Genomic DNA, 22,160 nt, shown 5'->3' on the forward strand with positions numbered 1-22,160 from the left:
CCTGAACTTGCCCTCTCCAGTGAAACAGGACTCCAGGCCCAGGCTGTGAATTGCTCTATCCCAGGTGGCTCAGAGCAGCTGTCTAATCAAAGTGTGTTGAATTGAACCGAAGTCATCGGCTCCTGCCCATCCATTGACTTGTGTTGACTGAGCAGCTGTCAGACACTGGGTCCACACAGCCTATAATCCAGAACCTTTCCTACTTCACAGAGCTCTCAGCCTGGGGAAGAGAAACAATGCGAAGTGTTAAAATTACCCAATCACCTACTGCAGGGTGTGAGGAGGCTGCAGGGAACTCAGCACAGGTGACAAGAGATGGGCTGGGGTTCCGTCCCTCACCTGGAATTATCTCCGGGGGCAAAGGGTTGAGGGTGCCTAATACTACCTCGCCCCTGACTCTGCATGTGGGAGCTCCCACAACCAGGGCTCCTTCAGAAGCCGAAACAACTCAGAAGCTGCAACCTTTGCTTTGAGCTAAAAAAAAAATAGCAGAAAGGCTTAGAAAATTCTGGAAGGGTTGACCTTGTGCCCTTCCCTCCAGGTCACCAGGAATGCGTGGAGTTCCCTCCTGCCTCTGGGCAGCCAACTGGAGCCCTGTTGTCTCTGGGTCTCCATGCCCACTCTGATTTGTGTTCCTCGGTTCTGATGTCTGTGTTTCTGTTTATTTTTTCTCTTTATTGAATGGCCTTTTGCTGCATGCTCTTCCAAATCCTCTGTGGAACAAAGCCCAGAGTAAATAATTGAATGCTTACACATTTAAATATTTCCAGTGTTGGCCTTGGTCACGTCTCTGCATGTGACATCCCATACTGACAGCCTCTGCTCTGGGAAGCAGAAATGCCTTTGCTTTCCTCTTGAGCTGTTTCTTTCGAGCTTACAAGTTGCAGGGAGTCACCCCAGTGTCCCGGGATTTGGGCCACATGGGCTCATTCCTGTCTCTAGCCCAGGCCCTTTTCAGTCTTCCTTTCTCCAGGCTGAGGTCAGGCTGTCCTCAGACCCAGCTACCACCCAGAAGCAATAATAATGAAAATTAGCTAGCTATGAATAAAGTGCATCTTAATTTGGAATGATCCCCATTTTGCAGGTAGGGAAAGAAAGGCTCAGAGAGGTGACGGGAGATGCCCAAGGTCACACAGCAAGGGTCTCCTCTCTTCTTGAGGCTGTGCTGCTTTCCCCCAGAAAGCCCTTACTATACTCCTGACTCTTGCCCACAGGACCCCCGGGTGGTCAGTGGAAATTGGTGTGTGGGAGGTGGCAGAGCTGGGATGCAAACCTGGTCTTAGAAAAGCAACCCACATTTGTTGAGCGTACAAAGGGTGTGTGGGATGTGAGCATGTGGGGTGTGTGCATGTGAGCAAGTGTGTGTGATTGTGTGGGGTCAGTGTATATCTTGGTCAGTTCAGGCTGCTATAACAAATACCATTGACTGGGGGGTTTAAACTACAGACATTTACTTCTCACGGTTCAGGAGGCCGGGAACCTCAAAATCAAGGTGTCAGCCAACTCTGTATCTGAGGAGGCTCTCTTCCTGGTTGGCGGATGGCCGCCTTCTTGCTGTATGTATCATCACATGGCAGAGACAAAGATCATCCCAGCTCTGCCATCTCCCAGCTGTCTGACCTTGAGAAAGTCATTTTCCCTCTCTGTGCCCATATCCATGGCCTAAAATGGGGTCAGTGCTAATACAGTGCCACAGGTTGTTGTCAAGATCAAATGGGACCATGGGTGAGTAAACACAATGAAAAATGCTTGCTAAGCTGTATACTGACCTGCTGCGCCAAACTCAGGACACAGTAGAGTGCCATGAAGACAGTGGTGTTGTCTAGGCTCTGCCGCTCCACCCACCCCGCCCCTGTCCAGTGTCTCTCCTGAGTGCTCCCCCAGCCCAGCCCCCTGAAGCTGGAGCTGTCAGGAATGAGGGTGCTTCATCATGTACTGTGCTACTGTGTGGGAACATCTTCAGGGAGAGAGGGGATGGGGTAGGGAGAAGCGGGAGGAGGTCGGGGGTGCCAGCATCTGCCCATAGAATTGCTCTTTCCAATCTAGAGCACGCCATAAGAGGGAGGTGAGGGGGGCCCCCTACTGTCCTTATGAAAGCCCCCCAAGCCCATGGAGTGTAAGGAAGTGAGGACCTGGATGTGAGCTCAGCCCCAACCCTGGCAGCTGCCCACCAGCCTCTGACTCCGGGCTCCGCCCTCTCCCCATCTAATCCCTGTCCTGCTCTACAGCGACCCTGAAAAACTCCTTCACCACTCACTGTGTCCCTTCCTAGACCTCTGGGACCTACAGTGGCTCCTGCTGCTCCTCTCTGGGTCCCCGGGCCTGCCTCACCTTTGTACGTGCTGTTTCCTCTTCTGTCACCTCCACTTCCCCTCCCCGAGCTCCTGTGCCTCCCTGAACTTCTCCAGTCCCAGCTCTGCTGTCTGCACTGTAAGTGACAATTCACTCCTCTGTCCTTCCCATGGGATCGGAAGCCCCTTGAGAGCTGACTCTGCATCTGGCCACTCTGTTTCCCTAGAGTGCAGGGTGGCACCTGACACCTTAGTCAACATTTATTGAGTGCTGACTGTGTGCCAAGACTGTGCTCAGCCCTTTACAGACATATATTAATTAACGTAAGATGACCTTCAAGGACATATTGGAGACAGGGTGGGGTTGGGCTGGGAAGAAAGACTTGAAGGCCAGGTGGATTTGGATCTGGCTCTGCATTTATTGGCTGGGTGATCTTTATCAAGTTACCTAAGCTCTGGGTGCCTTACTTTCCCATGTAAAATGGAGGTAATGATATTATCCATCTCATGGAGCTGTTTTGAGAATTTAAAGAGTGAATATACATAAAGGGCTTAAAATAATGTCAGACACAGTTTAAGGGTTGGCTATTACTATTGTCCACATTTTATAGATGAGGAAACTGAGAGTGGGAAAGTCACTTACCTGAGCTCTCAGCAATGAGGTGGTAGAGTTAGAACGTGAATCCAAGATCTACCTGACCCCGAAGCACTCCCCTTAATGATTGCAGCAGGGCCTCAGGGCCTTCGACCTCTTTAGCCTCAGCGTCCCCATCTGTAAGGTGCAGGGGCTGGAGGGGAGGATGCCTAGAGTTCCAGTGCTAACACTCTTGCCTTTGTGAGATTCTCGGTGGGGATTCGAGACTTGGAACGCGTCTTGAAAGCAATGGGCTCCCCTTGTGCTTTCAGGACAGGATCCCGTATACAGCCCCTGGATGCATGGCAGATTTCTGGTAGGCAGGTTGGCTTGAAGTGAAATGGTCCGGATTTAGCAGGTGAGGCTTTGGAGGAGATGCTTCCATAGGGGCCCCCAGTGCGTGCTGAGACAGGCTCCAATAAACCTGTGGTGAGAAGTCACAGGCAAAACATGCAGGAACGTCTGCTTCTGCAAGAGGCCAGCTGACACTGTCCCCTTCAGAGCTGGAGCAGCTGGTGCAGACCCTGTTTTCTGCAGAGGACCCTGGGGCAGGGTGAAAGCCCTGAGCTGAGATGGGAGAAATCAGATTCTACTTGGGCGGGGTGGAGGGGCCGCTACTGTGTGCCTGGGGCTTTCCGAACCCTGCCCCATTATTACCCCTCACCCTCTGCAGGTGGTGACTTCCCAAATCCAACTACCCCTTAACATCTTCCCTAACCTGACTCAGGGTCCCCACTCCATCTCTCCTCAGCATTTCAGCAGCCTCCTCCCTGGGTGCCTGTTGCAGCCCATGCAGATCACACAGATCACATCAGACAGAAGCTCTTCCCCAAACCCAAGTCAGGCCATGTCACCTCCTGGCTTCCCATCGCCCTCCTACGCTGGCAGACGTTGACCCTTGTGGTCTGCTGCCTTGCCTCTCTCTACACCTGCTGACCTCCTTGCTCCTCTGGAAATGCACCAAACTCATCTCCACTGTGGGTCTTGGTCACTTGACGTCCCCTCTGTCAGGGAGGCTCTGAGTGTCACCTGCCTGGCTCTGTTGTTTTGTCTTTCTAATATCAGCCTAAATGTCACCACCTCAGTAAGGCCCTCTGGGATCTAAAGGAGCTCTGCCTCCCAGCGCTGGTGCTTTTAGTCCATCTCACAGTTTCCTTTTTAGGCTCTGTGCTGTGCACAGAGGATACAGCAGCGAGCAGGACATGTCCCTGTTCTTGGGTCCTTGTGGGTCCTGTTGATGAGTAATGATGAGAACTTTAGTTTCCATTGATTAGAAGGATGAAAAGAAAAAACGAGAAAAAAATAAAAAGAAAAGGGATCATGAGGACCAATATTAGCCAGGAAACACACACACACACACACACACACACACACACACACACACACACACACACACACATAACTATGAAAAAAACAACTGGTTGTGCCACACAGGAAGCACATGGGTTGCCATGGAAACAGGTAATGGGGCCCTCACCTATTGTGGGGGTTAGGGAGGGCATCCCTATTTCTGTCTAAGAGTAGCATTAAAATATTGAAAGGATGGGGCTTTCATTTCCTCCAAGATAGAGTCTCCATAGTCCTTTCAGGTCTTCCCCATGACAACTAAAAAGCCATGGACATAACCCAGCAGTAGGCACAGGAAGGCTGAAGGACAGAGGAAAGCAGACTGTCTAGATGCTCAGAATGTGAGGAATGGCACGGTGGCAAGCTCTCTGCCTTTCCCTATTGCTTCCCTTATATCCTAGGACAGAGTGCTGCATAAGCCCCCAACCCAGAATGGCCAACAGACACAGACCTAAAAAGCACCAAGAAAAACCTGTTGCTCTACGCAGAGGACTGGGAAAAGGGAAGCCAAAGGAGGAAATATTTTTGTCAAATCCTGCCCTACTCCAATACCAACAGAAAAGCTGCTCTTCTCCCACTCCTTCTGCCCTGCAATTTGAGCAGGATCGAGCAGGAAGCTGATGTTCCATCCATCCCCACTTCCGCTGCATGTAGCAGACATAGATGCTCTGACTCCCCTGCCAGGGTGGTGTCAGCAGGACCAGCCATGAGCTGAACCTCCACTTCCACCTGGCAGCAGTGAGACTTAAGGGGGTAATGCACTGTGGGGCTATTTACACTTGACACTTTCAACCTCATCCAACTGGCAATCATCAGTGTGTCCAGAGAGAAACTGCCTGCACCCTAATCTGGCATCCATAAAGCAGAACAAGGTGATAGGAAGTAGGGCTGGTTGGCACTCTGCTTCCTTCCCGTCCCTCTCCTGGTGTCAGTAGGGCCCAGTGGGAAGCTGAGTTTCTGCTTCTACCCTGCAGCAATAAAGTGATGTGAGTCAGCCCTCACCTCCCTCCACCCCTGGTGTCAGTAGGGCATGGTGGGAAGCTGAGCTTAACACCTCCATTCAGAGGCAACAGGGGAGTAGAGCTGACCCCATCTTTGCAGGCAGGCCCAAGGGGAGCAGAACACACATATCCATCTGGCCCTCTCATTAAAACTGTGGGAAAAAAAAAAGAATCTAGAGTCTTACAATATTCAAAATGCTCAGAATACAATAGAAAAATAATCACTTATCATACCAAGAATAGGAAAATCACAACTTGAATGAGAAAAGATAATCAACAGATGCCAACATTGAGATGAATCACATGTTGAAATGATCTAACAAGGACTCTAAAGCAGCCATCATAAAAATGATTCAATAAGCAATTATGGATGATCTTGAAACAAGTGAAAAATAAAACATTTCAGCAAAGAAATAGAAGTAATAAAAAAGAACAAAATGGAAATGATGGTTCTGAAATATACAATGACCAAATAAAAAACTCAATGAATGGCTCAACAGTGGAGATGATGGAGGATGGAACCAGTGAACTTGAGGAAAGATCAATAGAATTTACCCAGCCTGAAGAACAGAGAGAAAATAGACCTAAAAATAAAACAGAAAGTCTCAGAGACCTGTGGACATCAGCACAATAGCTCTCAGTCTTATTATTGGAGTCTCAGAAGGCGAGGAGAGTGGGACTGAAAAAGTATTTGAAGAAATAATGGCTAATACTCCCCCAATTTAGAGAAGGACATATACCTAACGATTCAAGAAGCTGAATAAACCGTTAAGTAGTATAAATCCAAAGAAATTCATGTCGGCCCGGTGTGGTGGCTAATGCTTGTAATTCCAGCACTTTTGGAGGCTGAGGCAGGTGAACTGCTTGACTGCAGGAGTTTGAGACCAGCCTGGACAACATGCTGAAACCCCATCTCTTTAAAAAAACACAAAAATTAGCCAAGCATGGTGGCACCAGCTTGTAGTCCCATGTACAGCCATGCCTGTAGTCTCAGCTTTTTGGGAGACTGAGGTGGGAGGATTGCTTGAGTCTGGGAGATCGAGGCTACAGTGAGCTGTGTGTGTGCCACTGCACTCCAGCCCAGGTGACAGAGTGAGACCCTGTCTGAAAAATAAAGAAATTCATGTGAAGCCACATCATAATTAAACACCTGAAAACTAAAGACAATGAAACATCTTAAACACAGTCAGAAAGAAACTACATGTTACTTCTAAGTTACACCAATTTGAATGACAGCCGATGTCTCTTTTGATACCAAGGAGGCTCAAATTAAGTGGCACAACAGTTTTCAGGTACAGAGAGAAAAGAACTGTCAATAGCACATTCTATATCTGGTGAAAATATTAAGGGGAAAATAAAGGCATTCTCAGATGAAGAAAAACTAAGAGAATTTGTTGCTAGCAGATATACCCTTAAAGAATAGCTAAAGGAAGTTCTGTGAACATAAAGGACATGATAATGGAGGAAAGCTAGGAATTTCAGAAAGAATGAAGACTCTAAGAATGGGTGGGGATAAACAGAGTAGACTATCCTTTTTCTTAGGAGTTTCTTAAATCCTATTTGCTGGTTGAAGCAAAAATTAAAAACCATCTAATGTGGTGTATAATGGATGTAAAGGAAGTAGTTTATGATTATCCTCATAAAGTGTGTAAAGAGATCTGAACAGGAGTAAGGGGCCTATGCTTTGTTCCCAGTGTTAAAACATCAACACCAGTAGAACAGGATGAGTTATGTATATATTTTGTGATATTTAGAGAAAACACTAAGAAAATTATAGAAAGTGATATTCTTGTATTCTCAAAAACACTATAAAAAATCAATACAGAATCCTAAAAAATGTTTAGGTAACCCACAAGAAGATACCAAGAGAGATCCAGAGGAATAAGAAACAAAGAAAACAAATAGAAAACAAAAAATAAAACAGCAGACTTAAGCTCTAACATATCAACAATTAAATGCAAATTGTCTCAATGCATCAATTAAAAGACAGAGATTGGCAGAGTGGATTAAAACAAGCAAAAAAAAACAAAAAAAAACCCACAGCAACAATAACTACAACAGAACCTCATACAATCCAACAACATGCTGCATTCAAGTAATTCACTGCAAATACAACAACATAGGTAGGTTGAAATGGAAAGAATGGAAAGAGATACACCATAAAAATGTTGATAAGAAAAGAAAGAGTGGCTATATTAATATCAGATAAAGCAGACTTCAGAACAAAGAAAATTGCTAGAGAGAAAGAGGAACATTACCTAATGATAAAAGGATTCATTTACCAAGAAGACATAACAATCCTAAGTGTGTATGCATTAAATACTAGCGTCTCAAAATACATGAAGCAAAACTGATAAAGCTGAACAGAGTAACAGACAAATCAAAAAATGTAGCTGGAGATTTCAATATGCTATTCTCAGCAATTGATAAAACTAATAGATCATCAGTAAAGCTTTAGATCGGAACAACACGATCAAGAGCAGTGGTTCCTAACCATTCTGGCACCAGGGACTGGTTTCGTGGAAGACAATTTTTCCACGGACATGGGGTAGTGGGGAGAATAGTTTGGGGATGAAACTGTTTCATCTCAGATCATCAGGTGTTAGTTAGATTTTCATAAGGAGCAGGCAACCTAGATCCGTCGCATGCACAGTTTACAATAGAGTTTGCACTTCTAGGAGAATCTAATGTTGCTGCTGATCTGGCAAGAGGTGGGGCTCAGGCAGTAATTCCTGCCCACCTAATGCTCACCTCCTGCTGTGCAGCCTGGTTCCTAATAGGCCACAGACCGACACCGGTCTGCAGCCCAGGGGTTGGGGATCCCTGATCAAGAGGGTCTAATTGACATATACAGAACACTTTACCCCAAACAGAAGAACACACATCTATTTTCAAGTGCCCACGGAACAGTCACTAAGGTAAGACTATACCCTGTGCCATAAATAACAAAAATGAAAACAACGAAAGTTAACGAATGGGTTCAATAGTCAAATGGAGGAGACAGAGGAAAGAGTCAGTAATCTTGGATACAGAACAATATAAATTACTCAATCTGAACCACAGAAAGAAAATATACTGGGAGAAAAAAAGAACAGAGCACCAGGGACCTATGGGACTATAACTAGAGATCTAACACTTATGTCATCAGAATCCCAGGAAGAGAAAAAAAAGGAGGTGGGGGCTGAAAAAAGACTCAGAGAAATAATGGCTGAAAACTTCCTAAATTTGGCAAAAGACACAAACCTACGGATTCAAGAAGCTGAGTGAACTCCAAACAGGATAATCTCAAAAGATATTCACACCAAGACACATCATAGTCAAAATTTTTAAAATTAAAGACAAAGAAAATATCTTGAAAGCAGTGAGGGAGAAATGACAACCTCTCTGCAGGGGAAAAATATTAGAACAAAAAAGGATTTCTCATCAGAAACCATGGAGGCTAGAGGGAAGTGGCTCAACATTTTTTTCAAGTGCTGAAAGAAAAGAACTGTCAACCCAGAATCCTATATTCAGGGAAAATACCCTTCATAAATGAAGGGGAAATTGACATTTTCAGATGAAGAAAAACTAAGATAATTTGTTGCTAACAGAAACGTACCCTAAAAGAATGGCTAAAACACTCTCTAAATGGAGAAGAAACAGTAAAAGAAGGAATCATAGAACACCAGGAAGAAGAAAGAACACAGTAAGCAAAAGTATGGGTAAATATAATGAACTTTTACTCTCCTCTTAAGTTTTCTAAATTGTATTTGATGGTTGAAAAAAATTATAGCACTTTCTGATGTGGTTCTAAATGTATATAGAAGAAATAGTTAAGAAATTTATATTATTAACGAGGAGGGTAAAGGGAGGCAAGCTTTCTATACTTCCCTCAAACTGGCAAAATGATGACACTAGTAGACTGTGATAAATTATCTATATATTAATGTAATGTAACTGACAGTAACCACTATAGACACTATACAAAGAGATATACTCAAAACCAGTATAGATAAGTCAAAATTGAAGTCTAAAAAAACTATTCACATAACCCACAGGAAGGCAGAAGAAAGAAACAAGGGATATTGGTCTGTAGTTTTCTTTTTGTGTGCTGTCTTTGGCTTTTTTGGTATCAGGGTAGAGGAATGGCTGGTTGAAAGTAACACAAGTTTTTTCAACTGAAAAATGAGGAAATCATAGGCCTCACGTCACAGGAAGGGTTGTGGTTGTGAGGTTTAAGGTAATGCATATAAAACAAATGCATTAATGCCTGGCACTTACAGTATGTAATTCACCTTTAATAAATGATTGCTATAATTTTGTTTAATAACGTAGTGTCACTTCCTAATTCAAGATCGCCCTGGACTGCAGTCTGAATCAACCTATTTTTTTGTAGTATTTAAATTTATAAGTTCCAAAATTGATCTGAAACAGTTTAGTTATACATTGGATGAAATATATTTATAGAAATCAGGATGATGGGGGAAATGAAAGCCTTATGGTTAACTAAATGATATCATCAGGTCTCCATTCTTGGCTCTGGTCTCCACCATGCCAGCCTCACACACAGACAGGCTCTCTCCTCTAGATGGCTCCATGGTTCCACGCTCACACCCTGTGGTCTCTGATTCCACGGACAGGGCCGGAATTCAGCCTGATTGGCTCAGATTGGGTCATGTGCTCATGCCTGAACCAGTCACTGTGGCTGGGGAAGCAAGGCTCTGATTGGCTAGACCTGGGGTTCTGGCTACCCCTCCATCTGGGGTGGGGTGATTTCTGCAGGACCCCTTAGGACCGAGAGGGTTTCTCCAGGGAAATAAGGAGGCTATTATCAGAGGCGAGCCTTCTGGTGGGGTGGGCAGAATCAGCAGATGTTGGTGGTGGCTGGAGTCACAGATGGGCTTTTAGTTTGCTAAAGCTGCCATAACGATGTGTCACAAACCGAGGGGCTTCAAGGACAGAATGTATTGTGTTCCCTCATAGTTCTGGAGGCTAGAAGTCCCCATTTAAGGTGCCAGCAATGTGAGTTCCTTCTGAGGGCTGTGAGGAAGAATACGTTCCATGTCTTCCCCTAGCTTCTCGGGGATGGATGGCTGGCAATCTTCGGCGTCCCTTGGCTTGTAGAAGCGTTACCCAATTGCTGCTCCCATCTTCATATGGCATTCTCTTGGTATGTGTGTCTCTACGTCCAGGTTTCCCCTTTTTACAAGGACACTAGTTATATTGAATTGGGGCCCACCCCAATGACCTCATTTTAAATTGATTGCCTTTCTTTGTAAAGGCCCTATTTCCAAATGAGGCCACATTCTGAGGTGCTAGGGATTAGGCTTTCGACATATAAATATTTGGAGGACACAACCCAAGCCATAACAGGCGTGACAGCTGGTACCCACCCAGATCCTCTTGACTGACCAGGGCACCAATTCTTTCTGGCTGCAGTGAGTATTAACCTCAGCTCAAGAGCGCTGACTGCAGACTCACCTTGCAAAGGCTAAGAGGTTAAACTCTCCCCACACGGTGACCTTCAGCTAATGACACAGGGTTCAAAAAAATCTATCTCACTGCCCAGGGCAGGAGAGCCGTGTGGTGCCACAGATGACGTTCCAGAGCTCCCCGTGGGCTCAGGCTGGGGGTGAACTCGCGTTGAGCCCATGCCCTGGTCTGGCTTCTTGCCTGCCCTCTGCTGCTTCCGTCACTCCCGTTCTCCTGAGGGTATGCCCTCCACAATCCCACACATCCCCACACATCTCCGTCTCAGGCTCTGCTTCTAGGGAGACCGACCTATATGGAATCTTCTGGAACAGCCATCCTCGGGCACCTGCCATCCTGTAGATCACGTTCTCTCTGTGAGGGGCTGATTCAGAAAGGGCTCTGTTGCCAAGCTCCCAGCAAGGCAGGGCTGGCATCGTGGGGTCTTGCAACCCAAGTTCCCGCTGCTCGTTTGTCGCAATTCTTCCCATGTCTGCTCAAGGTCCTCATGAAATCCGTCGTCTCCATATAATTTCCACATATCTCTCTGCTCTAGGTTTGATTAACAGCAAGTTATAAACAAATTTCAGGAAAAAGGAAACCAGCATCTCCCCAGGGCAGCCAGAGTCTATTGGCAGATGGCAAATTGCTTTGCAGCCAATATTTTTGTTTGCTTGATTTTTATACAGATAAAGAACTAAGCTAATTAATATACATTTCTTATCATCTTTAGGTCTTGGGAACCTCTTTGCTCCATAGTGAATTGATTACCAGGTTTCAATAAAGGGTCTGTCTTTGCAATTACAGTTCATTAATAGATTTAAAAGGGAGGGAGGATGGTTAAGTCTCACTAAGAGGATTATTTTGCATTTCTCTTCTTTTAATTACATGGCTTATGTCCTGGTTCAGAGTTCTGTGAAAGATGGGGGGAAAGTCCCAGCACCCCATCTGTTCCAGATGCCAATGCAATTAATAGGGGAGGAGACAGGAGCTTCTCAGGGGCTTCCTGCTAACTGAGGCTGCACCTGCCTCCTCTTCAGAGCTACCTTGTGGCTCGGAAGCTCAGCCACCAGAGCTCAGTTGGCAGCAGGTATGCTGGTGTAGGCAGGGGCTGTTCTGCCCACGGAGATGCAATATCTGGGGATTTGGGTCAGGACAGCCTTGGTCCTCTATTGAGCTCTCAGAATGTAAGCCCCTAACACATAGTAGGTACCCAAGAAGCACCTATTGCTTTTTGGGGAGATGGGGAGAATGATTCTCTTCGCTTGGGGGAGACTGTGAAATGAGGGGATGTGTGCAAAGTGCAGAGTACGGGCCGGGTGCCCTCGCTGTTCAAGACGAAGCTGCATGCTAAACACTTCTCCCTCCTCCTCCTCCTGCTCCTCCTCCCATCCTCCTCCACTTCCTCCCCTCCTCCTCCTTCTCCTCCTCCTCCTCCTCCTTCTTCTTCTTCTTCCTCTTCTTCTTTTTCCTCCTCTTCCTCTTCTTTCTTCCTTTTTTTTTTTTGAAAAGGTCTCACCTATTGCTTCTTGGGTACCTACTATGTGCTAGGGGCTTTACATGGATTTTCTAATTTAAACTTTGCTGTGATCCATTTTTACAGACCATTTTGCAGGTAGAGGAACTAAGGCAAACAAATGTGTGCAGGACCCTGGGCTAGATGCAGAGAGGTGGGAGATGAACATTTTCCAGACGTTAAAGGAGACCCCGCCTTGGGCACTGAAGTGGGAGCTGGAATTTGAAGTCAGGCCTGTTGTCTCAGAAATTTCTGTTATGTTCACTCTCTCTTTGCTGCTGTCTGGTGGCACTTTCTGTGCTTCAGTTTTCCTACCTGTGAAATGGGCCCCAGAGACTGGATGGAGTGAGTGTGAAGGCTCCTTCGGCTTTGGGGTGCTGTGTTTTGAAGAGGCTGGGCCTGGAATGGCAGGCGTGGGGCTGGTATGGGAGAGTCTGGTGTCGGGGACTCTGAGTCTCCAGAAATGAGGAGCCTTCAGTCCTCAGCACTAGGGTTGGCTCAGACCTGATCAGAGAGAGCTGGTTTTACCCCTGTCACTTGAGGGATATCAGTAGCATCTCACTCTTTAATCTCCTTTTCCCAAAAACTCCCAAGGTAGGCAATGACCTTGCTCATAGGACAAACCATGGGTCTGTGGTGTCAGAGAAGGCTACACCCCTTTCTCCAGCTGGGCCATCCTCCACATATGACTCTGGAGTGTCTGTGTGAGGGTCACCTCCACTTTCCCTGGCCTTTGTATGTGTAGAGTCTTTGTAATTCGGGGGGCAGCAGCCAAGACCTGTGTGTTGGGAGTGAAGTGGGGGCTGAGAAGGGGCACGCCCAGGAGACACCTTCCTGTGCCTTATCCTCTCTTGTTCCTATTTGCAAATGGCTAAGTCCTTTGTCCTCAAATCAGAATATAATTGTTTGTGAGCCCCAGTCACTGCAGCCTGGTGGGGGCAGGGGGATACTAGAGACACTGAGCAGAGGTGTTGGAGGAACCCCAACACAGACACCTTGGAGAGACCATGGACTCTTCCTCTTCCTCTTCCTCCTCCTCCTCTTCCTCCTCCTCCTCCTTCTCCTTCTTCCTCCTTCTTCCTTCTCCTTCTCCTCCTTCCTCCTTCCTGGTGTGGTGGGCCTTGTCCCTGGCATGGCCTGTGGCTGTGGTCATGTGACTGCAGCTCTGGGGCTCAGTTTGCTCCCCTGGGAGATGGCAAGAATAATTCTCCTTGCTTAGGGGAGACTGTGAAATAAGGGGATGTGTGCAAAGTGCAGAGTACGGGCTGGGCACCCTCACTGTTGAAGATGAACATGCTAAACACTGCTGTTCTTCACAACAGCTTCAGGACGCAGGTACTATTTGATCCCATCTTCCAGATGGGGGAAAATGAGGCTCAGAGAGCAAGCCCTTGCAGTGGTAAAGGGAAGGGCTGGGACTTGAACCTGGGCCTGTCTGCCCCATGAGGCCCCTGATGCTTCTCTTCCCCAGTGGAAAACCTCTCATTCCCCCATGTACTCTTCAGGGGACTTGGATTGGTGTCCCTGCCTGGATTGGTACCATGTCTGGACTCCCCATGCCCTTCCCCATAGCCCCTACTACTTCCCAGAAGCTTCTCTGCCTGTTCCCTACCCTGCCATTGTTGCCAGGGCTCGTTTGGATGTGGCTGCCTTTCTGGAAGGTTCTGTTCCCTTTTCTTATTGTCAGATTTTCACTTGCAGTTTCCTCTTTGTTTGCGGTAGGACCCTTGGCACCTGAACAGAAGCCACCTTTTGGGTTCTCTCCCTGGGGTGGTGCAGAGCCTGGAATCCTGCCCCTCAGTGCCTGGGGCTTCCTCTGGGAAGAAGGAGGAGCACGTGGTGAGTACCCCAGTGTGCGTCCCATTCTCGGGTCCCTTGGGGTCATCACAGCCTTGGATCCCCCTGATGGGCTTTCCCATACAAGGCCCATGCTCAGCCGGCCCCTTCCAGCTGCCGTGGAGTTTCCTTTGCCCAGACCCTGCCTGGGAGCAGCAGGTGTGGATGGGGCCTCTCCAGGAAGGAGAGGAACTGGCCTTGCCCTGGGCTGGGTTGGGCTGGGCTGGGCTGGTAGGGGCCAGGCCATGTCCACCCAGGGTGCCGCCTTCTCTTGGATCCTGCCACTTCTCCAATAGCAACTGGAGCTGCCCAGGGAGTGGGGTGTACTCACTGGGATATGCATGGGTTGTGCATGCACAAACATTTTATATTTCATAGTTTCCCAGTCATGTATGTATTTTAATAGTATCAGGAAAAAGCCCACAAGCAATTAGTGGATTGAAGCCTTGATTTCATGGATATTGTTGCTCAGAGTGAGACAAATGGAAAACAGGGGCCCCATTTCAAATCAGTTTAAAGGGACGTGTGAGTCAACATTGTATAAGGGGAGGGTGGGGACAGCGAAACGCCTGAAAGTATCAGAGAAGCTTCTCCAGTGTGGGAGATGCAGAGGAGGCCTCTGAGCTCCAGAGTTAGACACCCGGGGCCAGTCTGGCTCTGTCTGGGGCTGAGGGGCCTTGGGCAGGTTGCTGCACCTCTGTGAGCTTAAGTTTCCTCATCTGTGACGTGGGGTGAGCCATAGCAGCTCACAGGGTTGTAGTGAGGGTTGATGAGATGAAGAGGGTGGTGTGCTGGAAGGAGCTTGGCACAGGGTCGGCCCAGTCAGAGTAGTGGGGATTGGTGTGATCATTATTATTGTTATTAGTAGTGTCACTGTTATCCTTAGGGTGGATGACTTCTTCTTCTTCTTCTTCTCCTTCTTCTTCTTCCTCTTCCTCTTCTTCTTCTTCCTCCTCCTCCTCTTCCTCCTCTTCCTCTTCTTCTTCTTCCTCCTCCTCTTCCTCCTCTTCCTCTTCTTCTTCTTCTACTTCTTCTTCTCCTCTTCCTCCTTCTTCCTTCTCCTTCTCCTCCTTCCTGCTTCCTCCTTCCTCCTTCTCCTTTTCTCCTCCTTCTTCCTTCTCCTTCTCCTCCTCCTGCTTCTTCCTTCTCCTCCTTCCTCCTTCCTCATTCTCCTTCTCCTTCTCCTCCTTCCTTCTTCCTTCTTCCTTCTCCTTCTTCTTCTTCTTCTTCTTTTTTTTTTTTGAAAAGGTCTCACTGTTGACCAGCTTGTAGTGCGTTGATGTGATCATGGCTCACTGCATCCTCAAAGTCCTGGGCTCAAACAATCCTCCCACCTCAGCCTCCCAAAGTGCCAGGATTATAAGCATGAGCCACTCTGTGCCTGGCTCCTCAGGGAAGTTATTCTGGGTGAAGTGACCCATGGCTTTCAGTAGGGAAGAGACTGAGAGCTCGACACCCCAATCCTCGCAAAGCATCCTGTGGGCAGTCCCCACTAGGGTGTCCTCCTCGAACCTTGAGCAGGACAGCTGGCCATGTGGGAGAGGGCCTGGCTTGGGGCTAGGCAGGCTGGGTGTAAGTCCAGCTTGGCCGCCCACTGGGGAGCTGAACAGCCTCTCAGAGCTGCCCTGTCCTTGACTATAGGCTGAGACCACAAGATCCACCTCTCAGGGTGTGAGAGGGGAGTGGCTTGTGCCCTCCCCACGGCCAAGTCTACTGGGCTCTGGGCTCTGGTTTCCTCTCTGCGACAGGCCACCCCTGGACCCCAACCTTCCTGCTGGAGAGCAGCTGAGATTGGGATGGGTGGGCAGGGGGCTGCCCTGGGATGTCCCGGGGGACTCAGTACTGATCCCGTCTCTTCCAGAGTTCCAGCCCCTCCATGCCTATTCTCTCATTTCTCTCCTTCCCAGAAATCAAATTTCTTCCCAGAGAAGCCTGAACTAACCCTGGCAGGACAGCTGCTGCTCAGAGCCCACTGAGAATTCAGCCAATTAAATGGGGAAATATGGGAGAAGACCTCCATGGTGGGGCAGGGCGAGTCCACCAGAAGAATAAACAGACATGAAAGACAAGGGGCTCCTGGCTCCTGCTGCCCAAGCTGCTCATGCCAAGGGAGAGTCACGAGAAAACTCCACTCAGCAAAGGTCCTGTCTCGCTCCTCATAGTTAATATGCTGGGAAAACAGCAACCCCGGCAGCAGCCGTGTGTTCAGCCGGGATGCATCTGCCAAGGGCTGAGCTCATAGCTTCGCCACCTGGGGCTTCAGGGCCCGTTTAACCCACTCAGACATGGAGGTGCTGGGAGGGGGAGACTGGGGTGAGCCATGGGAGGGGGGAATCTGGAGTCAGTGACCAGGACCCTGCATTTTGATGCAGAGAGGAGCTTAGAGATCTTTGGCTCAACGTCCTCCTGCAGATTCTGAAACAGGAGGAGAGGGTCCTGGAACCTTCCTTCTCACACTCGGGTGGAGGATTTTCAGATCTTGCAGTCCCCTCCATGGCAGCTGTCACACATGGGATCTCAGAGTCAGAGCTTCTTTCATGAGCTCCAAGACACTTTCATAAAAGCTTTGAATCACAGAATCTGAGCATCTGCTCCCTGTCACAGAATCCTAGAATCCCAGGATCACAGAATCATTTGTGGACTCACAGACTCAAGACTCTCAGAATGAAAGGATCTCTGGGGAAGACTTGGAGACTCACCCACGCAGCTCAGACCCCTGGAATCACAGAACAATCGGGAGAAGTGATATTAGAAGATATCTAATATCGTGGAATCAGCATCTTAGCACAGGACGTGACCTTAGCCCAGTTCCCCCTGGTCATGCGGGAAGTCCTCTCTTCACTGTCCTGGGTAATGGTTTGAACTCTGGTAGAGACGGTGAGGTCACCATCTGACAGGGTCACCTGTTCCATTCTTGGGCAGATCAGGCTGCTGGTGCTGAGACTAAATTTGCCTCCACATGACCCACCTACCAATCTGGCTCCTGGCTCCTCCTCCCACGAAGAACTGAATATGTAAGGTGATCTGGACACCCACACAGAGGCTTAACACAGCCAAGCACAGCTTGGTCCTTGGCCAGAGGTGTCTGCCTCCCTCTAGGGCAGAGTTGGGCACCAGGACGCAGGAACCGATGGGGCTGCTTGGCTCACTTCAGTTCAATTCAGTTCACCCAAACAAGCAAGAGGTGTCCAGTCTGCTCCTCTTCTGGAGGAGGGGCCGGTCAGGGACAGGGGTGGGCAGGTAGGAACGCCCACCAGGAAGGAAGCTCAGTGGTGCTCTGGGAGAAGGAATGATCCTGTTCTCAGGGGTAGAGAGGATGCCTGGGGCCAGAGGTGACAAATAAGGCTGGTCAGAGTTATCCCAGCCCTGCCGCTGACCATGAGGTAACTTTGGGAAATCACTCAATGCCTCAGAGCCTCAGTTTCTCCATCTGAGAAATGGGATCATGAAGCCCCCTCTGTGTGATTGGTGCAGGGCTGTGTTGGGATTCACGCAGGGCACTCACCTCCCAGCACGGCTCTTGGCACAGCCAAGGCAAAATATATTAATTCCCTCCTGTCCCTCCATCCTTGGGCCTGGGGGATGAGCAGGATTCTCCAGATGGAGAAGATCTGGGAAAGGCATTCCAGGCGCAGGGAACAGCCTGTGCCAAGCCCTGGGAGCTGGGAGCATTTGAAGACTCGGAGTGTCAGGATGTGGGGGCAAAGTGCAGGCCTGGTCTGGGGGCAGTGGGCCCTGGATGCCACCATCCAGGATGGTGGGGTGAGGGCGCTGGGAGCCATAACAGGCACAGGTAGCCTCCTGCAGAGACCCTCCACCCTCCTTTGGTGCCCAGTATCAGCCTGGGGAGAGAGTGTAGCTGCCCAGCCTCCTGGGACCCCACCAGCCAGGCAGCAGCAGAAAAGTGGAACCAATGAAAACACACCAGAAACAATCATCACACAGACGAGGTCCGTGCCCAGCCAAACCCCAGCCCTGAGCACATGGAATGATTTGATGCTGAAACCCAGCACCGGAACATTAGGGCAGTTTAGAAGGGTCTGGCACGGTTTTATTCTGACATAAAGGGCTGGATCTCATTAAGTTCACTTCAAATGCCAACTGGGGAATAAATGAGGCCAAGTCCCCTGATGAGCCTGGGCCCTGGTACCAGCCCAGGGTAGATGTCAGGGAGCAGCCGGAGGCACGTTGTGGGGACACAGGAAGCTGGGATCTCAGCTCTCTCCCCATGAGCTGTGTGACGTGGGGCATGTTGCCTAACCTCTCTGTGCCCACGCTCCTCCTACAGGGCAGGGTTGACGCTGGTGGCTCTTGTGCAGGGCAGCAGTGTAGACTGAAGGAGGCAGCCCCAGCTCCCTCACACCTGGGCTTCACTCTGTCTCCTGTTCCCCGGGCGGTCATTCATTCTTCTCTCCCATTCCCCCGCCCGCCCACTCAGGACCTGCACCCTCATTCACCAGGCGTGGGTTTATTCCCCATCAGCCCCGAGCTCCCCTTCCCCAGTGCATTTACTCACCGCCCAGCCCTCCCTCAGCCCCCAACCCGTGCATGACTCTGGCCTCTGCTGTGAGAAACCAGGATCCCTCCTGTGCCTGTGAAGGGGGCTGGGCAGTTTAAAGAACGCAGTGTGACTTCATTTAGGCCTCAAGTCCCCCAGGTCCCCACCCAGCTTCCTCCTCCTAGGTCACTCAGGGGCAGGGCATTAATGGGTGGTCCCTTGGGGGGAGTCCAGAGCTGCCCATTGGAGGGGAGCCTGCCACCTCTTAGTGCTGTCTGTGTGACCTGGGCCAGATCACCTTTCCTCACTCTGCCTAGGAAGTCCTTTCACCTCTGGGTGTGGGGAGTTGTCTGAGCCTCCTTGTGGCTCTGGGCTGGGAGAAGGCTCTGCCTCTGGCCAGTTTGCAGAGAACAGAGGTCGTTATCCATCCTGCTTCTCACGGCCCTTTTTGTATCTATATCTATGTCTGTGTCTAGGTCTATGTCTGTGTCTATATCTATCTATGCCATCTCTCTCTGTCTCTATCTATCTATCTATCTATCTATCTATCTATCTATCTATCTATCTATCTATCTTTTTTGAGACAGAGTCTCACTGTCGCCTAGGCTGCTGTGCGATCTCGGCTTACTGCAATCTTCACCTCCTGGGTTCAAGCAATTCTCCTGCCCAAGCCTCCCCAGTAGGAGAGATTACAGGTGCCTGCCACCATGCATGGCTAATTTTTTTGCTATTCTTAGTAGAAAAGGGGTTTCACCATGCTGGCCAGGCTGGTCTCGAACTCCTGACCTCAGGTGATCCGCCCGCCTCGGCCTCCCAAAGTGCTGGGATTACAGGCATCAGCCACTGCGCCCGGCCTATGCCATCTATATTTGTATCTAATTTGTTCTCCCAGAAAACTGAGCTTGGGAGGTCTTTCCCCTTGAGCCTCTCTCTTATGACTAGAAGGTGCTGATGGTGGTGGGGACTGAGCCTGGTTTAGGGTCAACTCTACTGAACTGGGAGGTGACGAAGCAGATCATTTTCAGAATCTGTTCCATTTTTTACCTTGATGAAGTGTATCCTGCAGCTAAGTGCCCACTGGTCGGTTGCAGTAATTAATCAACTTTATTGCCTATACTTGAGGTCTCTGGAGCCTTGGCATGCAAATATATGTAAATGAGCAGAGGAGTGGGTTGAACCTAAAGCCTGGGGAGTGTCTGCCTGGATTGGGCTGATTTCTCTGTTCACGTTTCCTGCCGTAATCTTCCCGTGTTCCCTGGGAGCAGGAGAATGGGGGGCAAGGAGAAGGAGCCTTAGAGTCAGAGACACCTGGGTTCAAAGTCCAGCCCACCTCTTCCTGCTGTGTGTGATCCTGGGCAAGTCCCTGCACCTCTCAGCCTGCGTGTCTCCATCCCCTACAGTGGCAGTAATGATCCTCTTCTCACCGTGCAGGGCTCTGGTGGGCCCAAGGAAGCAGCGCTCAGAAAACACAACTTGCCTTAAGAAGCAGCGCCTCTCAGAGCTCCTAAATTACGCATTTCTGAGGTGGCGGGGAGGAGAGTGCAGTCATCTGGGCTTCGCAGCCCTGGCAGAGCAAGTGCTCCTTGAAAGGAGATGCTACAATTTCCCCTAATGAATGGCAACTGCTGCTTAATCCAGTCCTTGCCTCCTTTCCCGTCCAGTTCGGTGTGTTTTATGTGCGACCTTTGCTGAGTGCAGCCATTCCTCTGGGGGAGAATTTTTTATTTGAAATTTGAACAGCCTGGAAGACTTATTCTAAATAATGGATGTAAAGTGTGTCTGTGCAAAAACCACACGAATTATGTTAGGAAACCTAGGCTGAGTTGGGCTCCAAGTCCTGCTGGGACCTCTGAAGAGTGGGGCTGGGGACCCAAGGCTGCTCTGATCAAGGATTCATACAGGAGCTTCTTTCATCGTTGATTTTGCATTGGACGCAACTTATAGAGTTTGCAGGTCTTTTTCAGGAGAGGTGGACATTGAGGTTTACTGAGCACCCACTGTGTGTGAGGGCCGCGGATGTGCTACTCCCAGCAACCCAGGTACTCATTAAATGTCAGGAGGAGGATTTATGTCTATGTTTATATCTATCTATGCTCCTGCTCTCCTGCAGGCCCCGATGTAGACAGCACCTCCTTAGGGAGCTCCCTGACCCCCCAGGTTGGGCTAGGGGCCCCTGTGGCTCCCACGTTGTCTGTGTGTCCCCCATCAGATCGCACGGTGCTGCCACCATCTGTCTCCCCCGGACTGAGGGTCTGGAGGGCAGCGATGACATCTCTGTCCCCGTGTGGTGACCACATAGCTCTGCCCTCCCTGACTATGGGGCCTGGACCAGTCTCCTCACCACTCAGGCCCTAGTGTCCTCATCTGTCAGACGGGTGACAGTCCACATCCCCCAGGCTTGCGACACGTGTGAGGGCTCAGGCACGGTGATGGTAGAGGCAAGGGCGCGAGCTGGGTGACCTCAGCCTCCCCTCCTCCCTCCGTACTTCCCTCCATCCTCAACTCCACCTCTGAGGGGCCTGGGCTCCGCTCTCCTGCAGGATTGCCACCCCCACCCCCGCACCTTCTCCCAACCTTCAGAGGAGAGGTAATTAAAACTTCCTCCAGCACCATGTCCTGAAGTTCCCTGCTTAATTAGCACAACCTGCTACTCAGGAGTTACATAACATGGACGCGGCCTCCCTGCCCTGGAGAAGTGTGTTGACGTCTCCCTGCAGGACCAGTTACATAATTTGTAGGGCCCAGTGAAACACGGATATGTGATGCCCTTGTTTAAAAAGCGGAGAACAAGAAATGCCATGACATATACTTTAATATAAAGTTTTTTCTTTTCCGCCGAAGTCTCTCCCTTGTCATGTTATTTTTTATTTGCTATTTAATGTTCTAAGTAAAAATTTAGAACTTTAGATTATTAGCATGAACTTTATCATTCATTTTTATGTTATGCAATGCCAGTTTTAAATACAAATTATAGGAGCATTCAACGACAAACAGAATCACTGAAATGATACAATTTGTATCTCATGGGTCATTCATGCGCAGGTATTTCATTCTTATCAGAAGAGTGGAAATTCAGCACAAAATTAAGTGCTTTTATTTCACTTCTTGATATGCACATTCTGCCAACAAGCTCTACCTTTGGATCATGACTGAGTAAAGAAAGATTGGAAGGAAAAGAAACCATGAGTTGCCTTGTCTTTTCCTTTCTCTCCATCATCATTTGCAGTGCAAATAGTTGGTTAGTGCAGGGCAGTAAGGCAGGTAAGAAAGGACATGATAAGGTTCTTGGTCATTTATATTTCTTAGAACACCATTGCCTCTTTCTGCATTTGAAGACCGTTCTGGTTCAAACAGGAAGGGTGGTCTTTCAGGGGCTGTCAGCATCCCCACTCACTTGGTCACAGACATAACACTCCTGTCTTGTGCTCACTTTGCATCTCGCTGACCTCGTACACACCTAGAACTCTCAGTTCACAGGATATTGTGAGTGTTCTATGCAGATGGGGCAGCAAGAAACAGCAGACACATAGAGCGTGGATCTCCTCTGCTCACTTGCGTATACTCCACTGGACTTCACTTACAAAACACA

At 48.9% G+C, this 22,160-nt stretch overlaps 1 long non-coding RNA gene across 1 annotated transcript in view; it reads left to right on the forward strand.

The window, feature by feature from the left end:
• The window catches only part of LOC107984933 (uncharacterized), an 82,158-nt gene extending 60,684 nt beyond the window's left edge, over positions 1–21,474 (forward strand). The window contains exons 2-3 of the long non-coding RNA XR_001737955.2: positions 13,960–14,076; positions 15,981–21,474. This is a non-coding gene — a long non-coding RNA (uncharacterized LOC107984933). The remainder of the gene's footprint in view (positions 1–13,959; positions 14,077–15,980) is intronic.
• The last annotated feature ends 686 nt before the right edge of the window (positions 21,475–22,160 follow it).

The sequence above is a fragment of the Homo sapiens genome, chromosome 1, assembly GCF_000001405.40.
Source record: "Homo sapiens chromosome 1, GRCh38.p14 Primary Assembly".
In the NCBI taxonomy this organism is placed as follows: domain Eukaryota; kingdom Metazoa; phylum Chordata; class Mammalia; order Primates; family Hominidae; genus Homo; species Homo sapiens.